This window comes from Homo sapiens, chromosome 13 (assembly GCF_000001405.40).
Source record: "Homo sapiens chromosome 13, GRCh38.p14 Primary Assembly".
Lineage (NCBI taxonomy): Eukaryota > Metazoa > Chordata > Mammalia > Primates > Hominidae > Homo > Homo sapiens.
Genome location: NC_000013.11, coordinates 70780196 through 70798931, shown reverse-complemented (window position 1 = coordinate 70798931; position 18736 = coordinate 70780196). Strand labels below are relative to the sequence as shown.

The 18736-nt window shown below is 33.1% G+C and overlaps 1 long non-coding RNA gene across 1 annotated transcript in view, besides 1 other annotated feature; it reads right to left on the bottom strand.

Annotated features, from left to right (window-relative positions):
* The window catches only part of LOC105370255 (uncharacterized), a 62160-nt gene that overhangs the window by 29006 nt on the left and 14418 nt on the right, over positions 1 to 18736 (bottom strand). Inside the window, exon 2 of the long non-coding RNA XR_942058.2 lies at positions 2291 to 2388. This is a non-coding gene — a long non-coding RNA (uncharacterized LOC105370255). The remainder of the gene's footprint in view (positions 1 to 2290; positions 2389 to 18736) is intronic.
* Positions 13557 to 14971: an enhancer, noted in NCBI's record as "VISTA enhancer hs540". NCBI's record gives its function as "enhancer in: forebrain[6/9]" and the evidence as "EXISTENCE:transgenic organism evidence [ECO:0001131][PMID:17130149]".

Sequence of the window (18736 nt, the reverse complement as noted above, 5' to 3'; positions counted from 1 at the left end):
TTTTCCATATTCATGATATTTTACCTGTACTCATTTATGTGTGTGTGTGATAATGTTCTCAAATTTTATAACCAGTATATGTTTGTGTATCCAACACCATAGGCAAAAACTAAAACAGTCCAATAAAATAATTTCTTATGTTGCCCTTAATAACCACACACACTTTCATTTTCCCTCCCCATTCTTAATTATATTCAATCTCTGGTAACACTAGTTCATTATAAAAATAACTTTGACAAGTTAAAAATAAAGGAGAATTACATCAACTTCATAAAGCATATTTTAAAAAAGCCTATAGCTAACAGCATACTCATAATGAAAGACTCAATCATTTCACCTTAAGACTGGGACAAGGCCAGGATGACTGTTCTCACCACTCTTTTTCAACTTAGTACTAGAAGTTCTAGTCACTGAAATCAGGCATGAAGAACAAATAAAAGTCATGCAAACTGCATAGGAAGAACTAAAGCTATTCCTATTTTCTGGTCTACATAGAATATCCTAAGGAATTTCTACAAAAATGTCCTACAACTAATAAATGAATTCAGCAAAACTGCACAGTACAATATTGTCACACACAAAAAGTCACATTTTTATATATTAACAGTATGGAAAACAAATTAAAAAATAGAAGACCATTTAGATTCACTGTGAAGAAAATTGAGTGCCAAAGTATACAAGTAAAAACACACGTATAGGATCTATTTGTGAAAAACTACAAAATGCAGAGATCGCGCCACTGCACTCCAGCCTGGGTGATGGGGCAGGATTCTGTCTCTAATATATATATGTATATAACAAAACGAAGATGAAAGAAATTAAGGAATACCTAAAAAATGGAGAGATATACTGTGTTTATGGATTGGAAGTTCCAAAATAGAAAATATGTCAGTTCTCCTCAAATTGAGCTATAGGGTTAAAGCAATTCCTATCAGAATGCTAGCAACATTTATTGCCAACATGGACAAGCTTATTCTAATATGTATATGGAACAACTCCAGTTTTAATAATGAAGAAATTTTACAAAGTAATGCAACTGTGCTAAAAGCTAATGAATTCATAAAAACCTCAAATGAGATCTTTAAACTCAAATTTTCTTCATGTCCTCTTATAATATGGGCACTGTTTTGTCTGCTATGCTTATCACATTCTGCTGTTGACAGTATAAAATGGGCAGATTTTACCTGTTAGAGTTATCACATTTTACTATTTATAGCACAACATGAGGATATTTTTATTAGCTACAGGTAGCTCAGTAAGTCATCAACAAAAATCACTCACATAAAAGAATTTTATGGAATGTTCTGTTTTAAACTATGAAGTTAGGTAGCATGGGAAAACTACTAGAATCACAGAGATGTGAGTAGACCAATAAAGACAATTATGTTATTTATTTACATCATGTTAAAACTTTAAAAGTTAGCAATAACGTATTATAAAGAGAAGTACAATGTTTAAAAGTCCATAGGAAAAGGCTATTTTAAGTTTTTTTAATTTTTTAATTTTTATTTTTGAGACAGAATCTCACTCTGTTGCCCAGGCTAGAGTGCAGTGGCGCGATCTCAGCTCACTGCAACCACCGTCTGCCAGGTTCAAGCAATTCTCCTGCCTCAGCCTCTCAAGTAGCTGGGATTACAGGCATATGCTACCACGCCTCGCTGATTTTTTGTATTTTTAGTAGAGATGGGGTTTTGCCATGCTGACCAGGCTGGTATTGTGTTTTTTTAATGGCATTTTGCATGTGCCTGAGAGCAAAACAAGCATGGGATTTATTAAAAGTTTGTAATGGGCCAGGCGCGGTGGCTCATGCCTGTAATCCCAGCACTTTGGGAGGCAGAGGTGGGTGGATCACCTGAGGTCAGGAGTTCGAGACCAGCCTGACCAACACGGTGAAACCCCGTCTGTACTTAAAAAACAAACAAGCAAACAAACAAAAAACAGGAAACTTAGCCAGGTGTGGTCACATGCACCTGTAGTCCCAGCTACTCAGGAGGCCGAGGCAGGAAAATCGCTGGAACCTGGGAGGTGGAGGTTGCGGTGAGCCAAGATTACCCCCATTGCACTCCAGCCTGAGTGACAAAGCAAGACTCCATCTCGAAAAAAAAAATTAATGAACTGGAATGGAGTCCAGACTTTCTACATACAATAAAAAGTGCTGGCACTTGGAATACTGCAGTCAAAGGAGTATTATGAGTATTAAATTAGTGATATTGATAATTTTTTAGAGCAGTGCCTTATACATATAATCACTTATCACACTAATAAAAATAAATGTAGTAAGAATTATAACCTAGGAAGCCGGTAGAAATGGATTAAAATCTTGACTTTACCACTTCACTGCATGACCTTGGACAAGCTGCTTGAACTCTTTGAACATACTGGTATCATCTGTAAATTAAGAATGATGACATCTAACCAATTTTATAGAGAATAAATAACACAATGTTTTAAATACTTAGTACAGTGCAAGGTGCATAATAAATAAATGGTTGATGACCTCTAGATATTAGGTTCATATACACTATGGCCTGACGATAATATTTATTTATTTTCATTCATTCGTCATTCATTCATTCATTCATTCATTCATTCAGTTGTATGGTTTTTAGTTATACACCTGCATTGAGTTAGTGTGTCCAGAGTTAGCTTAAGTAAAAAGAATGGCTTTTATAATTTTATTAGGGCCTTGAATTCAAGTGACTATGAAATGAGAGAAAGTAGCTGCAAAGCGTTCTCAAGAATGATTTTAGTCAAAAGAGCATTAGACTAAGACTCATGACACATGAGTTCTTACTCTCAGCTCAACTGCATAAGTGTTGCCTCTTTCATAAATTACTTAATCATTCTGCATCTCAGTTTTAGCATCTGAAAAAAATACGTGTACCCTGGTATCAGTTTTGCCAACTCTCAGAGTTGTGGAGATGATCAAAAGAGACAATTAATGCAAGTTTGTGAATTTCAAATGTCACGAAGCACCGTATTATAAAGGGTGAACCATGCTGAGTAGTGATATGAACAAACCTAATAGCCAACATAACAAATGCCTAAACAACCTCTTTCATAGGAAGTACATCTGGTGGCCAGATGAGGCATAAATAGCAATAAGAGCTTTAAGAATAAGTATTAAAACATTTTTTTTTTCAGTAGGAGGATAAGAAACACTATAACTGCTAAAGCCTGCCGGTACAGCTGTATTGCAAAGTGAATACAGTAATTTGTATGGGGTAAAATACTATCACTATGAAAAGTCCAAGTCCCTCTGGTGGTGATATACATAAAAGGTCGTCTAGGTTAGCTAATGTAGGCATCCTGAGTACAAATGCCAAAAATACTTGTCTTTTTGGAGTGAAATAGTGAGAACCATCCAAGCATGATGCCAATGTAGAAAAAGGGAAAACGAGAGAGAGAGAGAGACAGAGAGAGAGAGAGAGAGAGAGAGAGAGAGATTTATGCATGTATATTTTTCTTCTGTACACAGATGATAGATATATGCACTTTTTTCTGTAAAATTATTGTTGTAAAATTATAAAACATTGTGAAACACTTCAACTAATTAAAAAGCAGGTACTGACAGTATTGATGGAAAAGAGTTACATATATGATATGTTACCATCATAATAACTTTGTATTCTCTAATCCCACTCATCTCAGAATACAACTTTTAAAAACAGGCTGGGAGTGTATGATAAAATTCTCAGTCAATGATTGACAGTAATATTCAGTCATATAGATGTATTCAGTACTAAATGAATTAAGGTCCTTTACTGCCTATTACACTTAATTATAGAAAAATTAAATAATAACAAATTTTGATTTTTAGGAGAAAAATGCTGCTTCAACTTTTCTTTAATATGTTTAAAGGACACAGAAACTTCTGAAATACAGAGATATCGAAACTATAATAATTATGTATTTTTCAGAAAATAATAAAAGTGACATCATTCAATTCCATTTTAAATAAACTGAATTTTCTAACAAACACATATTTTAATCTAATAAAGGATTGTTAAGGGTCAGGCCATCATTATATTAACCTGGAACTTAAGATAAAATACACTTGTTGAATTTCAAAGATGTGCCTTAAAAAACTAGCATAGGTGGTAAAAAGATTACTGAGAAATTTCTCTGGCCATATGGTCTCAGGGGAGTTAGTAGTTTTTGTTGTTGTTGTTCAGAGGTCACTTCAAATTGCTCAACCATGATTAATGTAAATTCGAAGCTAGAAACATAAATGACAACAAAAACATTAAAATCCCATGAAAAGTTTAAATAACATTTGAAATATACTTATAAAATAATATTATTACTACATATTTTAAATATAAAATATAAAATTTCCACTATTAAACACACACAATCATTAGAAAAAGAATGGAAAACAGAAAAATCAAAAGACTAGAGGAAAAAGTACACTCATGTTCCCATTTTAAGATCATTACTAACATCTTTGAAAAATGAGTACTCTCATACACTGACAATAGAAGGGTAAATTATATCTTTTAGAAATTCCATATATTGTAAGATTCAGCTCTGATATGGTTGGAAAATAATGTGATAATTTATTTCCACCAATAAATAAAAATTGCATAAAACACTCAATATATCAGATCTCAAATGTTAATATTTCCATTCAAGTTTGAGAAAAATGATTCACTTCTATTGAATATTTTGAAAGATTTCAATTAATATCTATAAAATATTTAGATGTTTTTTCTTTCCGTGGAGAGAGTAAAGCCAGTACAACCCAAAAATAACTTATTTCTGACATTATATGTATTATATATGTTAGATTTGGATGACATCATATCCTGCATAAAATAGTGAAGAATGCGATGCCCTATTAATTGTTGTATTAATTGTACTGGCAATCCTCAAACAATACAAAATATAACAAACTCAGAATAAGCAGGCCAAAAGCAAAATATCCTAATGTGTGTACTTAGCCATCTGCCTCTGTATCTAAAATCTTTACCCCAGAGAAAATTTCCAGAAGTCATTTTGAAAGAGTTTATATATGTCAATTATGGCTGTCAAGTATCAAAGGCATGGAAGAGAAGCTTACAGTTTATAGGCTATGCTGATTCACAGCTTGAACAGTAAAATTTTTATTAAATGGGGGAGGGGTAGTCGGGCCAAGTTCCCATTTACACATTATTCTCGAAGGACTTCTGAAGCTATCAACTTTCTTACCTTTGTGTTTTCAATCTATACAATGTGTAGTTTTGATATAAGGGAGAAGATGATTGAGCCTCTGGTCCATATTTATTTTACCAGCTAAGATACCCAGGGACAACGTGCAGATTTATATATCAGCAACTCATTCCTTCATATATTTATTCAGTCAGTTTTGAAAACCTACTGTGTGCTACACAAATATTTTCAAATAACCTAATTATTTTGACAAAGACTGTCAGTTATTTTACATTTTTCATTTATTTTCAATTAGAAAACACCTGCTAGTGGAGCAAGTTTTCCATTTACGGTTAGCATTTTCTGGAAGAATAGTTTTAAAACACAAATTAGTAAATATTTATTAACAAGTCATTGAAATTAAGCCTTATTTTCTTTAGCTACATTTTCCCTTGACCAGTGAAATAAAATATGGAAAAAAATAAATATAAAAAATTTAACCCACAGACTCTTTCATATTGTAGATATGTCTTATAAAATATGGGCTACATAGCAAGATGCACCCAGTGTATCTTTGTTTAGAATCATGTTGTATCAAATATCACCTCTATTTATGAAACTTCCATAAAACAGCAAAACTAATTTCTAATATATTCAATTCAAGGGGTTAGTAACAGACCTCAGTCCTTGTGTAACATTCCCACTAATGGGACAACAGAGACAAAGTCAATTTGTGTTATAAGAATAAACAATAGGAGCTAAAACAAAATATTTGTTTAATTAAGTGAAATGAATGCATTTTGATCGAATTTCTGTCTTTTTAGACAATCTTAAATACAATATCTGACACATCTTCGCCGGTCCCATGTATTTCTGCTCATCTCTTAAAGCAACATATTGACTGCTCTTTGTTACAGAATATGCTTTTAAAGATTTTTTCTTTTATAGTAAACAGCTTTGGATGATATAGATAGAACAAAAGCCAGTCATGTTTATGGTCCTGTGCAATAAAAATAATTCTTCCTTTTGGGACAAAAAGCAGGCATGATGAATACCATTATGAAATCAAATTTCCTCTCCTGAAATGCAACCCACTGTGTGTGCAGACATCCAGCTTGTCCCATTGATGTTGCTGCTGAGCAACATGGAAGCAAGGGTAACTAATACCAAGGAGCTGATCTCATGTTGCCTTCTCTGCCAGGAGTCTCCTCCACCCAGGAGCCTGGTGCCTTCTATCAGTATCCTGGAGACTATGGAAGGCTAACTCGTTAGCTTGTAAGTGGGGGGATATACCAATCCCTTCACAGTTCTTGAGGCGTACAGGCCAGAAACCCAGGTAGATAATGTAATAAAAGGATGACTAAGATATCATAACTGATTTTGAGAAGATTGACTTGTCAATTGTTACAGTCCGTGTTATGCAGTGATTTGTGGATGGAACTGCAGGATCACAGAAGGAGGTTTTTTCTCTGTGCTGCCTTCTAGAGGGGATGACATGTAATGGAGAGATGCCATATTTTATGTATGTTGCTCATTCTTGTACTGAGATGTGTTTACATTCTTCTTTTTTTAAAAGATATTTATCTAACATGAATTTATTTATCAAGAAAGGATTTTCAACTTTCCCAAATACCTGACCAGGGTGTATGGGGATAATATTTTTTCTCCTAAGACAATAATGATGGGTAATATAAGATACATCCTAATATGGAAACATCATTACGTTTATGAAATAAACCCTATTTGGTCATGGTTTACTACACTTGTAATATGTGCATTCTCTTCTTGAAAATTTTACTAAGAATTTCTATGTAAATATCATAATAGGAATTGGGGGTTTGGGTTGTAGCTATTTTTTCCATTGAAACGTGTAAGGTTTTAATATTGATTATTTTTGTTTAATAAGAACTTAGAAGGTTTTTATTTTCATTTTTATATATGACATGCAGTATGTGAAGATTTATATAACTTGGACAAACTGTTGAATTTATCTCAACTTGAAATTTTTGGTAGAGTTTTCTGGTGAAAATATCTGAGTTTGGTGCTTTTGGGAGGAAGCGAGGAGGTAAGGAAAAGTAAAAAACAGGACTTTATAGTCCTCATATATTTTTCTAATTTTTCTCGGGAAATTTGTTTAAGTTTGCTAACTTCAGGAGTCACTTTTGGTAGAGCATATTTTCCTAAAATTTTCTTAATTTTTCCACACTTTTCATTCAAGTTTAAAATATATATATAGATAGATAGACGATAGATAGATAGATAGATAGATAGATAGATAGATAGATAGATAGATAGATATAGGTTTAACTGTTTTATTAGTTTTTCTGCAAAAAGAACTTTCAGAAATGATGTATAAGTTTTAGTATATTCTCCTATGTGCTAATTTTAACCTTTGTATCTGTATCACTTCTTTCTTATTTCCTTAGATTTGTAGTTTTTCTTTTTTTGGATTGTTATTCTGTTTGTTTTTAATTTACATTTCATATTTGTATAACCACAAAAACTATATTTCTCTGAGTTGTGATAAGAATACAGTCAGGAATAAAACATATGTTTGGCATTGTGAAAGTTGATTACACAAATTTGGTCATTCTTATTATACCCAATTGAATCAGAGTGAATGGACCAAGAGGAAAAAGCACTCCAGACACATAATACCAGCTCCAAAAATTGAACTTTTTGCAAACTCAGGTGCTGAAATAGCCTGCTGTAACCATCAGACCATTTTTACCTGGTAGCTGCTGAAAAAAACTGCCTGGGCTATAAGACTAGTTTTACTTGTTACTATCACTCACCAATCAGAGCTTGACCGCTCCCCAAAGCTTCTCTAGTGACAGTGAGATTTCTTTCAAAATAATACATAAAATTTATTTCTAACAAAATCCCACCCTTGTCTTTGTTCTTTGGACAAACCAAAGACCACTCTGATCTGCTTGTATTCCACAAACTGCAATTCTGTGATTCCCAAATAAAATGTTTAATTTACCTTTAAAAATTTAATGAAAGGACTGTATATAAAAGTGTGGGATTAGGGAAAACATGTTTATTATTTTGTACTGTCAGGGCTTATAAAGTTTACATTATTTTTCTGTAAATTTAAAGCACACATTAGTTTCAGTCTAGTTGCTTTGTTAATGCATTCATTCTTACTCTCAGTCCTTTTGCTGTAGTTTTTGCAATCACATGTCTATTGTTTGAAGTTTGTTGTTTAGCAACTTTCTCAATAATAATTTGTAGCAATGATATTCCCTAAGTTCTTGCATGTTTGAAACTGTTGCCATTGAATTTGAGTGGCAGTTTGTCGGGAATAAAATATTGGTTATATTTTCTTCTTTTGAGAATTCTGTATATATTAGTCTGAGCACAGAATAAAAGTTTTGACCATAGAAATGAGAATATTTTTGTTTTAATGCCAAAATAATTTCTTCACATTTGAATTACAGAAACTCCTAGAATATGAATGAATATTTGTCATGCTCATCTCATTCATCCTAGTATACAGTGTGACCCTCCATATTTTCATTGTGTAACATTTTGACAAATAAATTGAATTTTACTCTTAAGCTGCTCCCTTTGTTTCAGTTTTCTTTTTTGCATCCTCTAAATAGTCATTCTTTGTTTCCTTAGGCTGTCATTTTTCATCTGATCTACTTTTATTATTTTATTTTTTATTTGCACATTTCTGTCATCTCTATCTTCTATATCCTGTATTGTTTTACAATGTCTATTCTCTGTTTCTTTTTCTTTTTTCCTTTATTTCTCAGACAGATGCTTTGAATACTTTCATGTGCATTTCATGTTGCATTCCTCTTATTAATTCACCATCTGTTCTCTCAGATCTTGTATTTATTTTTGTGAATTTGCTTTATAGGAATGATTGCATTATTGGGAATTTTATGTGTTTTGTTTTGTTGTAATGATTCATGGTTTAAATTTGCTCACAGATTTTACTCACTCCATACTATTTTTCTTTCTGGTAAGGATCCTTACAATTATTATTTTTTTTATCTTAACCCTTTCCCTCTTTTACATGTAACATCTTTGTATAGATACTGTATTGGCTTAAAAAATATTCACCATTAAAAGAGGTAAATTTCTCTAGCCATTTGCTTTAGTTCATATTCAGTGTGGTTTATTGATGGTGGTGGAGTTGAACAGGGCTTTATTCCAAAATTTTGAAACTTTCCTTATGAGAGGTGATTTAGTGTGTCTTTTTAAAAATCTTTGTTCTTCCTTAGCCAGTGGATACAGAGAATACGCTTTTTAATTTTTTCTTAATAGTTCACATTTAAGGTATACAACATGATGTTTTGATGTACATATACATAGTCAGATGATTACTACTGTCAAACAAATGAACAACCACCATCTAACATAGTTCCCTTTTCGTCGTGGTGGTAAAAGTGACAAAAATCTACTCTTAACAATTTCACAGTATACAACAACTATAGTTCTCATGCTGCTCATTAACTCTCCAGACTTACTTATCCTCCATAACTCAACCTTTGTACTGTTGGATTTTCATTTTCCCATCGACTCCCACACTCTACCTATGATAACCAACAGTGTACTCTCTGTTTCTATGTATGCAAGATTTTCTTGGCTTTTTGTTTGTTTAGTTTTCACATATAAATGAGATTATGCAATAATTTTCTTCTGTGTTTGGCTTATTTCACTTAGAATAATGTCCTCTAGATTCATCAGTGTTGTTGAAAATGGCAGAATCTCCTTTTTAAGGCTGAATAATATTCCTGTGTGTGTTATATAAACACACACACACACATATATATATATCACATTATTTATTCATCTATTGGTGGACCATTAGTTTGTTTCCATATCTTGGTTATTGTTAATATTACTGTGATAAACACAGGGGCACAGATGTATTTGTGAGGTGCAGATTTCATTTCCTAGGGAGATATACCCAGAAGACAGATTGCTGCATCATATGGTAATTATACTTTTAATTTTTTTAGGAACCTCCATGTTGTTTTCCATAATGGCTGCCCTAATTTACATTCTCAATGACAGTGTATGAGGGTTTCCTTTTCTCCACAAACTCACCAACACTTGTTTTCTCTTGGTTCCTTGATACTAGCTATTTTAACTGATGTAGGTAATGTCTCATAGTGGTTTCGATTTGCATTTCCCTGATTATTATTATATTTTTATTCAGAGAGTCTCTTTTTATCCATTGCATCATAGTCAGACCGCTTCCTGCGAGTATGGCTTGTCGATGATATTCTTCAAACAGCTTTGTATGATAGATTTTACTTGGGGGCCCCAATGTATCACACATCCCATTATTCATGCTCATAACAATGTGAAAATTACAGGCTTAAGACTCAAGAAACCTGGCAGCTTCCACCTTTCAGTAGCATTTAGCCCCCATGTCAGAGGCCTCTCTATGTTAAGGCCATTATTCTATGAGGAATCTCAAATGCCCATGGGAAGAGGACCAATGGAATCAAGGCCCTGGGAGCAACAATTGACAGCCATGTGATGAGGTCATTTTGTCCCTCTCTGTCATCTCAGCAGTTCAGCTGACACCACCTGTAAAGAAGAGATGCCGATCTGCCCTCATCATGTAATCATGAGCAATAATAAAGTGTTGTCGTTTTAAGCCACTAACTTTTAGGGTGGCTTGTTGCATTGTAATGGAAAATTGAAACGACTACTTAACTGGAGGGGCACTACTATTGCCACTTCTATTCCTGCTATTGGAAGCAGTAAGTATAGATTTGGATCTCAGTGTTGAAATTTACCCTTAAGCAGTACAATTTTTACATCTGATAGCTGCAACTGCTAGCTCCTTTCATTGTTTATTTCTCTTTTGGTGGCATTTTCTTTTCATTTCTCCCTGCATGGCATCTTTCTATCCCTATTGTTTCTCTGTTGATTTTAGCAGCCCTTACACCTGCTTCATAGCCTGGGATTGTAAAGAAATGAAGTTGTGTTTTTATATACTGTTTTCTTTGTTGCTTTTAGATGTTTTTCATGAGTATGATGAAACACTGCCTTTATGATACCGTGTTCCAACTGGAAATGAACATCTGTCAACAGACAGCCTTCTTAGGAATAAGGTACATTAAGCATTCTGGATTCATTTTAGCAGACTTCTTTTGTGGTTGTTTGTTTTGCTTTTCTCCTGTACTTACTGTTTTTTTTTTTTTTTCAATCTGGCAGAAACTTATCTCAAACCCATTGGCTCAAATTCAGAACCAATTTTTATACTGACACATTGAGATTTTGTTTCAACAAGATATGAGAAATATCCTCGAAGCAGTCCCTGAGCCAGTGGACAGCCTTGTTCAATTCCTTTCCTTAATGTTGTAACTTTCTCCTCCACTCTCCTTAAAATCAGATTTCATTTTATGCAACAGCCTAAGGATAGGGGAGGGTCATGATCAAATTTACAGTTTAGATAACGAATCATTTTGGCGTTTTTTTTCCCCTCAGTGTTGCCTGCTCTAAGATTTAATCTCAGAAGTGTTCTTTTACTTATTTCTATCTTAATCAAAAAGAAGCTCTGAAAGTCTTGAGAACAAATATTTCATCTTCCCCCATAGAAATTTCTAAATTAAGACATAAAGAAGATATTAACTAGCATTAGGTAATAATATAAGAAGACAGACAGATGAAGGGAGACATAGCTAGGCCCCAATACTAGAGGAAGAAATTAGAGGAAAATGCTAAGCTACCACTTCATCTTTGCCAATGATCAAAAAGTGAGATAAAATACTTATTAAAATTGTAATTTCTTCCATTAATATTGCAACAAGCTAATGAATTCTAGCAGATGTATATTTACCCTGACATATGTACCCTTTAGAAAATGCCTAGTTCCTTTGTCTTTTCATCAATTTTGTGAATAATAATGAATGGAATAACCATGATAAACATTTTACAATTTTATTTAACACTAAATATTTGATAGGGAGTTTTGAGAGACTTAAGCATAAAAAAAGATAACTAATGAAACCAATTCATTCTTCAAAGTGATTTATTTAATCCTCACAAAAAGTCTGCTGTGGAGGCAGGGCAGCAATAGTGTCTTGCCCAAGCTCAGACTGCCGTAGCAAAATATCATACACTAGGTGGCTTAAACCACAGAATTTGATTTTCTTAGTGCCCTTAAGGCCGGACGTTCCAGATCAAGGTGCTGGCTAGTTCAGTGCCTAATGAGGAGCCTCTTCCTAGTTTGGAGATGACTGCTCTCTCACCATGTCCTGACATGGTAACGGGAGAAAGAGTGCTCCAGTCTCTTAGCCTTTCTTCCTCTCTTGTAAGAACACTCATCCCATTAAGGGGACCGGAACTTCCTAACCTCATCTCAACCTAGTTACCTCCCAAACATCCCACTTCCAAATACTATCACATTGGTTGTTAGGGCTTTAATCTATGAATTTTAGGGAACGTGATTCAGTATACAGCATGCAGCACTTACAGCTAAGGTAACAGAGACCCCCAGAGAATAAGGTGGGGTTGCAGCACAGCTTAATAAATTGAGGAACTTTCTTATTCCTGACACTGAGTCTTACACATAAACCAGATTTAGCATATATTTATAAAATTGATCCAATAATACTATAAAAATATCCTCAATTCGTGTTTTTGTACACAGAGCCCTAAGGGCAGACATGTTTAAAGGCAGCAACTGTAACTATCCAATAAAATGAGTAAATCACAAAGATAAAGAAGAATATACAAACATACAATCATTTTATTTCAATAACATCTGTGTTTCTATCACATTATATTAATTCAATTTTATAAGCTCTGCAATTTTATTGAAATATATAGAAAAGTGTTTTATCAGTAGAAACCATTATATTTAGAGATGTAACTATACATCATTTTAATTACAGAGGCTCTTACATAGCAAATCTCAGTGTACCCTGATTGCATCCTGTTAAGTGCCTAAGCACAGATCTATAGAACTTATCAAAAACAATCACTTGACCAGTTCAATGCCATTCAAGGGACCACAAAGAATGAAATGCTTTCTTATATGTAGCCATAGAAAAGGATTGAAAACTCTGAAATAATATAGTTGTAGAATACAGTATTAGTGATTTCCTTCTTCCTGGACAATGAGCATAGGCTGAAAGAAATATATACTTTGATTAATAAGAAGTAATTAAGTAGAAAATCATAACATATTTTACAAATCTAGCAAAGGCAAATTAAATACTATAAATCAAATGAAATTAAAGATATTAAAATGCCAATTCCAGCAGAACTGAAGGAAAGACTGGAGAAAAGGAGGTATTTCTTCCAAGCCTGACAGCATGATCCCTGCAAGACAGAATATCTGAAGTTAAATAGAAGATTCTTCATACACTTAGTGTTTTTTTAAATAAATTATATTATCATTGTAAAATTAGAGATGTATCCAATTATCCACAGATGCTAAGAGACATAATGGAAGTGATGGGAAGAGAGTCCATGAAATATATACCCAGTAGAAATTGACTTGAGTTTGGAAGATTTGAAGACAAACACAATTTTAATTTTATTAGTATACATAAGACAGATTTCATTTCCCCAGGGACATATAAAAAAAGTCTAACAAATCCCAAATTCCTTTACCTCACCCCAGCTGTTTGGTGACTAGGGAACCAGAAATTCAAATATTTGTTTGTACACACGACTATAATTCTGTGCTAGCTTTATTTGTATGCATTCCTGCATTAGTACAGTCCTAATGTATTTTACTTGATACATTTTTGTGCAGGGCTTAAAGCACATTTTTCGACCACATGTTGGAACATTTGTGCACAAAAAATTCCCATCTTTATGTTTGAAATTTATGGGAACACAATTAAAATGAGAGGGGTCCAAAGGTATCAAGATAATTACATTTTTCTAATCTTACTAAACAAGATAAATTACCTGCAGGCCCTCTTATAAAAGATGAAATCTTCATAATAAGTGAATTAATCAAGCAGCAGCTTGCTACTGCACTTGCATTTATAACAGAAATGATTCAAAGACTTATTTTATGGGGAAATTAATGGAAACAGGCTTTTCATTCTTCTGCACCAATTGAAAACCTCAGCAACCAGCTGCCCACTTGTCAAGAAAACAGAAAGAAGCTGGAAACAAAGATAAATAAAAACACCTTTTTCCTGGCACTTTTGAAGAGAAAAAGGAGCTCTCATTTACAGCAGCCATCTGTTTGTTATTTAATATGGGTGAATTACATGCTGTAATGAGTTTGTTTCTGCATCACTCAGTGCAATGGAACACAAGTTCACACTCATAATGTGCAGCAGTTTTTAAAAGCTAATCATTTAATTGGACACAATCGTCAATGACAAATGGAGATGTAAAAACTCAGCCAGCTGTAGAGTGAATATGTAATCATTGTGAAATCATATTATTTTACACGCTTGAAGACTCCTTAATAGTATCTGATGTTGGTCATCACCGCAGACTCTGAAGAATTGAAGAAACATGGTGAAAAGCAGCCTTTCAAAATGGCTTTATATAATTGGCCCATATAAATGCCTGTGTTAGAACTACCATTTGACTTAGGTATGTGAAATCTGTCTAAAGTGTTTATTACTGTCTTAATTTTTGATTTGATTTTTATACATTTTTCATATATGTATGTTTTACTAGGCAAGAATTATAGTTCAGGAGAAGCTTGGGTGATTTTTTTTAAAATCTGCTTTAGTAGATGCATCCACTGATTTGTTGCTTTTGCATATGACATCACAAACAGATAAACATGGAGACTTGGGAGACTGCATGCCAACAGATTTTTTTAAGTCCCACACATACACAAAAGCTCTACTTCAGGAAATCAAACTTGAGTGCTTACACCTGCATGCGTTACAATAATAATTTAGACAGTGCTGCCTTAGTCTGTATTAGAAGAATAAAAACCTTCATCACAAAGAATTTAACCTATGGGTTCTCCACAAAGACTTATTAGCAAATATCCACAATGAGAATCATCTTCCAACTTCTAGGCATCCCAGAGAAATAAAAACAGAAATGAAGTTATTGATCTGGCCATTTTTGTACTTAATCATGCAATTGGTGTATGTTTTCTAGATTACATTATTGCTGAGAACTTTATTACAATATGTATTTTCATTTTTATTGTGCTTCCAATAATGTTAGTCTTAGTGGAAAGTTCTCATGACTGAAAAAGGAATTGAACACATCAGTATATAATCAATTGGATCAAAAATCTATGAAGCTATCTCTAAACTTCACTTAATATTAGATTTTTAAAATACATTTCAGAAGAGTAGATAAGAGATAACCATTGTTTAAAAAATACCTTACTATCCTAACTTTACAAAATTATTTCAACCGTTATTACTCAATGTCAATTAAAACCAAAATATTTATGTCTTTTATAACAATGTATATCTCCAAACATTATCTTATATTGTTATATAAGGTTCAGTAGCTCTTGATATGCTTAGAATTATACATGCTCTCGTTTTATATTCAAATAAAGTTTTGTTTTCTGGTTATGCTAGCCCTTAAAAAACAAATGCAATGACTTTACATGGTTTCCTTTTTTATAGTCCTTAGTAGCCTTTAGCATGGTAACTTCTTAATAAGTGTTGTATAAACAAATTTGTAGTCTGTTAAAGTAAGAGCAAGCAAGCTTTGAACTCTTACAGAATAGACACATAAAAAGGGGGACATGTTTTAATGTTTTCCTTATATTACTATTTATATATAGAAACTCTTGACATCAGAAATAAAAGACAATACAAAAATTGTAAGTCCACGACCAGGAAAAAAAATCACATTAATTAAAATAAAGAAACACAGATGTTTGAAGACAGAGCAGAACAGCAACTTGAACATACTAGAATAATCACCCAGGAAATAAGATAAAGACAGATGCCTTGTAAATTAAGAAAAGAGCCCAAATATGCAGTGCAAGTATGACCTGAAAGAAACCAACTGTCACATTCTTTCTAGTAAATGATTAACAGACAGGAGAGGAAAGCTGAGTAAATCAAGATGTGAAATATAGCATCAATGAAAAAACTCAAAGTAGGCCCCAAATGTAAATTCACACAAGTTCAATTAGCTAGAAAATTATCTTGAATGAATCTCATCTAACCACAATGTTTTAAGTTCCATTCACTTGGACAAAGCTCCTGATGTGAAGAAATGATACATACCACAGAGAAACTTTTTGGAGCAGAGATCTATGGACTTCCATATCTCTTGATATGGTTGAAATTCGATGTGTTGAAATTTAAATTACCCACATAAGACAATGCCTCATTTTTTATTTTGCTTTTATTTACTCTCAGAGGACACTACTTGCTATGGGAATCAAAGAAGAATACCCAGGGAAATCATAGCTTTAAAAAGAATAATCAAAATTGATTCCCAAAATCCCTTGAAGTGTAAGGAAGGGAAAGAGTGCTCTAGGACTTCTGTTCTTGGAAGGCACATGTGATTACAACAGCCCACAGATGAAGAGCCTTTAATAGCTCTCATGGCCCTGCGAGTACACTAACACTGAAAATTCCAACTAGGGTACATGTAATGCTTATCTCAAATGTCACTTTTTTCCAAAGCTTCCAGGACATTTTCAGAGTTAGTTATACTCCCTATTGTGCCCCCACAGTACATCGTAAATTCATAGTATTTATCCTATTAGAATACAGTCTTTATCTGTTTCAGTTCAAGGAATTGTCTTATTCTTTAATTTTTAATGTTTTTCCCAGTGCCTAACACGTAACAGTGATTATATAATAGATAATTAAAATATTCATAAATAATTAACTAATTTATCATTAATTGAACTGAATCTCCTAAAGGCAAAAATTGATTACTATTTTTTTTTAATTCTACTATATTGTACATAGTCAAGTATAAAGCAGATGCTCAATAATATTTGTTGATTAAATAGCAAACGGCTACTTGGACAGATGATGAATAATTTGTAGACGTTTCATAGATGCAGAAGTACCAAACACATATTTCAGGTCTTGTTTTTCATATTTAAGTAGAATTTCAAATCTTGAAAACTGAAGGAAATCTCCAAACAGCTAATTTTATGCCGGAAAAAATTGAGGCCATATAGCTAAGATCAATTATCCAGTCATCCGACTAGATAACCCTGACTCCCACACAATGTGTAGTCTACATCAAATGGTCTTGAGACTTTAATTTTATAGACATGAACAAATGGCATCCTTTTCTCTGAGTTGAGAAAATTAAAACAAACAAGAGAAAAGGGTTTACCAAAAGTCCCTACCTAAAATACGAGTCAACATAAACAAAAATTTTTAAGTAGCATTCACTTCTCCATAAAAATAGCAAGATGATAATTATACCAACTCGTTTATAATAACCAGTGTCCCTCAAGTAAAAATATGCAGAATTTAAAATATGTCAAAATTTATAAAATCATCATAATAAGAATTAGGTACACTATAGTATGTAGTAGTGACATTTCTATAATATTGGATAATGGAAATAATGTAAATATAAATTCATAGTTTCTAAAAATCTTCTATATAAGTAAAAGTTTAAGGCAACTTTCTTTTTAAAAAAGTTTATTAGCTGGCCACAGTGGCTCATGCCTGAAATCCCAGCACTTTGGGAGGCCAAGGCAGGCAGATCACTTGAGGTTAGGATTTCAAGACCAGCCTGGACAACGTGGTGAAACCTCGTCCCTACTAAAAATACAAAATTAGCTGGGCTTGGTAGCAGGTGCCTGTAATCCCAGCTACTGGGGAGGCTGAGGGACAAGAATTGCTTGAAATCAGGAGGCGGAGGTTACAGTGACCCAAGATCACCACCACTAGACTCCAGCCTGGGTAACAGAGTGTGACTCTGTCTCAAAAAAAGAAAAGAAGAAAAAAAAATGTTTTTTCAAATGATTACATATCATATTCTGTGAAAATAATGTGAAATTCAGCTAAATAGTTCATCAATTGATAAATCTAGGTAACATAATTATTCACCTAAATTCATAATATAAAAATGAGAAAATGGAATAAAAAGATTTTATATATAATACACTCTGTAAAAAATAAAACTTTAAAGTCAAAGGAGAAATTGAACACTTTACTATCAAGAAAGGATCATGCAATTCAACTTATTGTAAAGGATCATGCCATTCAACTTATTGTAGCTTGGCAAAGTTAATATACTGAAAATATGAACCATTGTCCAGATATAAATATGTACAATAACCTGTATACATAAAAGAGTGCACATAAAAATGCTCTTACGTTTTCCATATGCTGTTGTGATTGTGATAGCTTTCAGTTTTTCCCCACTCTTTTTATGTCATAGCTCACAAGAAAGATAATATTTGTATAGAAAATTTGGGTAGATGGATAAGGTCTTTGAGGAAAGTGGCCCTCCAGAGACTCAAGAGTTTTATGTTCTCAGCAGAACCGTTACCCATTTAAAGAACATAAGTATGTCTTGGATAGGAGTTCTTTTGAGTTATTCAGAAGTAACAATATCTTTGAAGAAGACAAAATTATTATGAATTCTTTCAATATTTGTGTACAGCTCTTTGAAAAAAACAGTGCTACCAATTATAAATTTTTCTAACTTGTTTCATACAGAAGTAAAATGCATTTCTACAGACGTT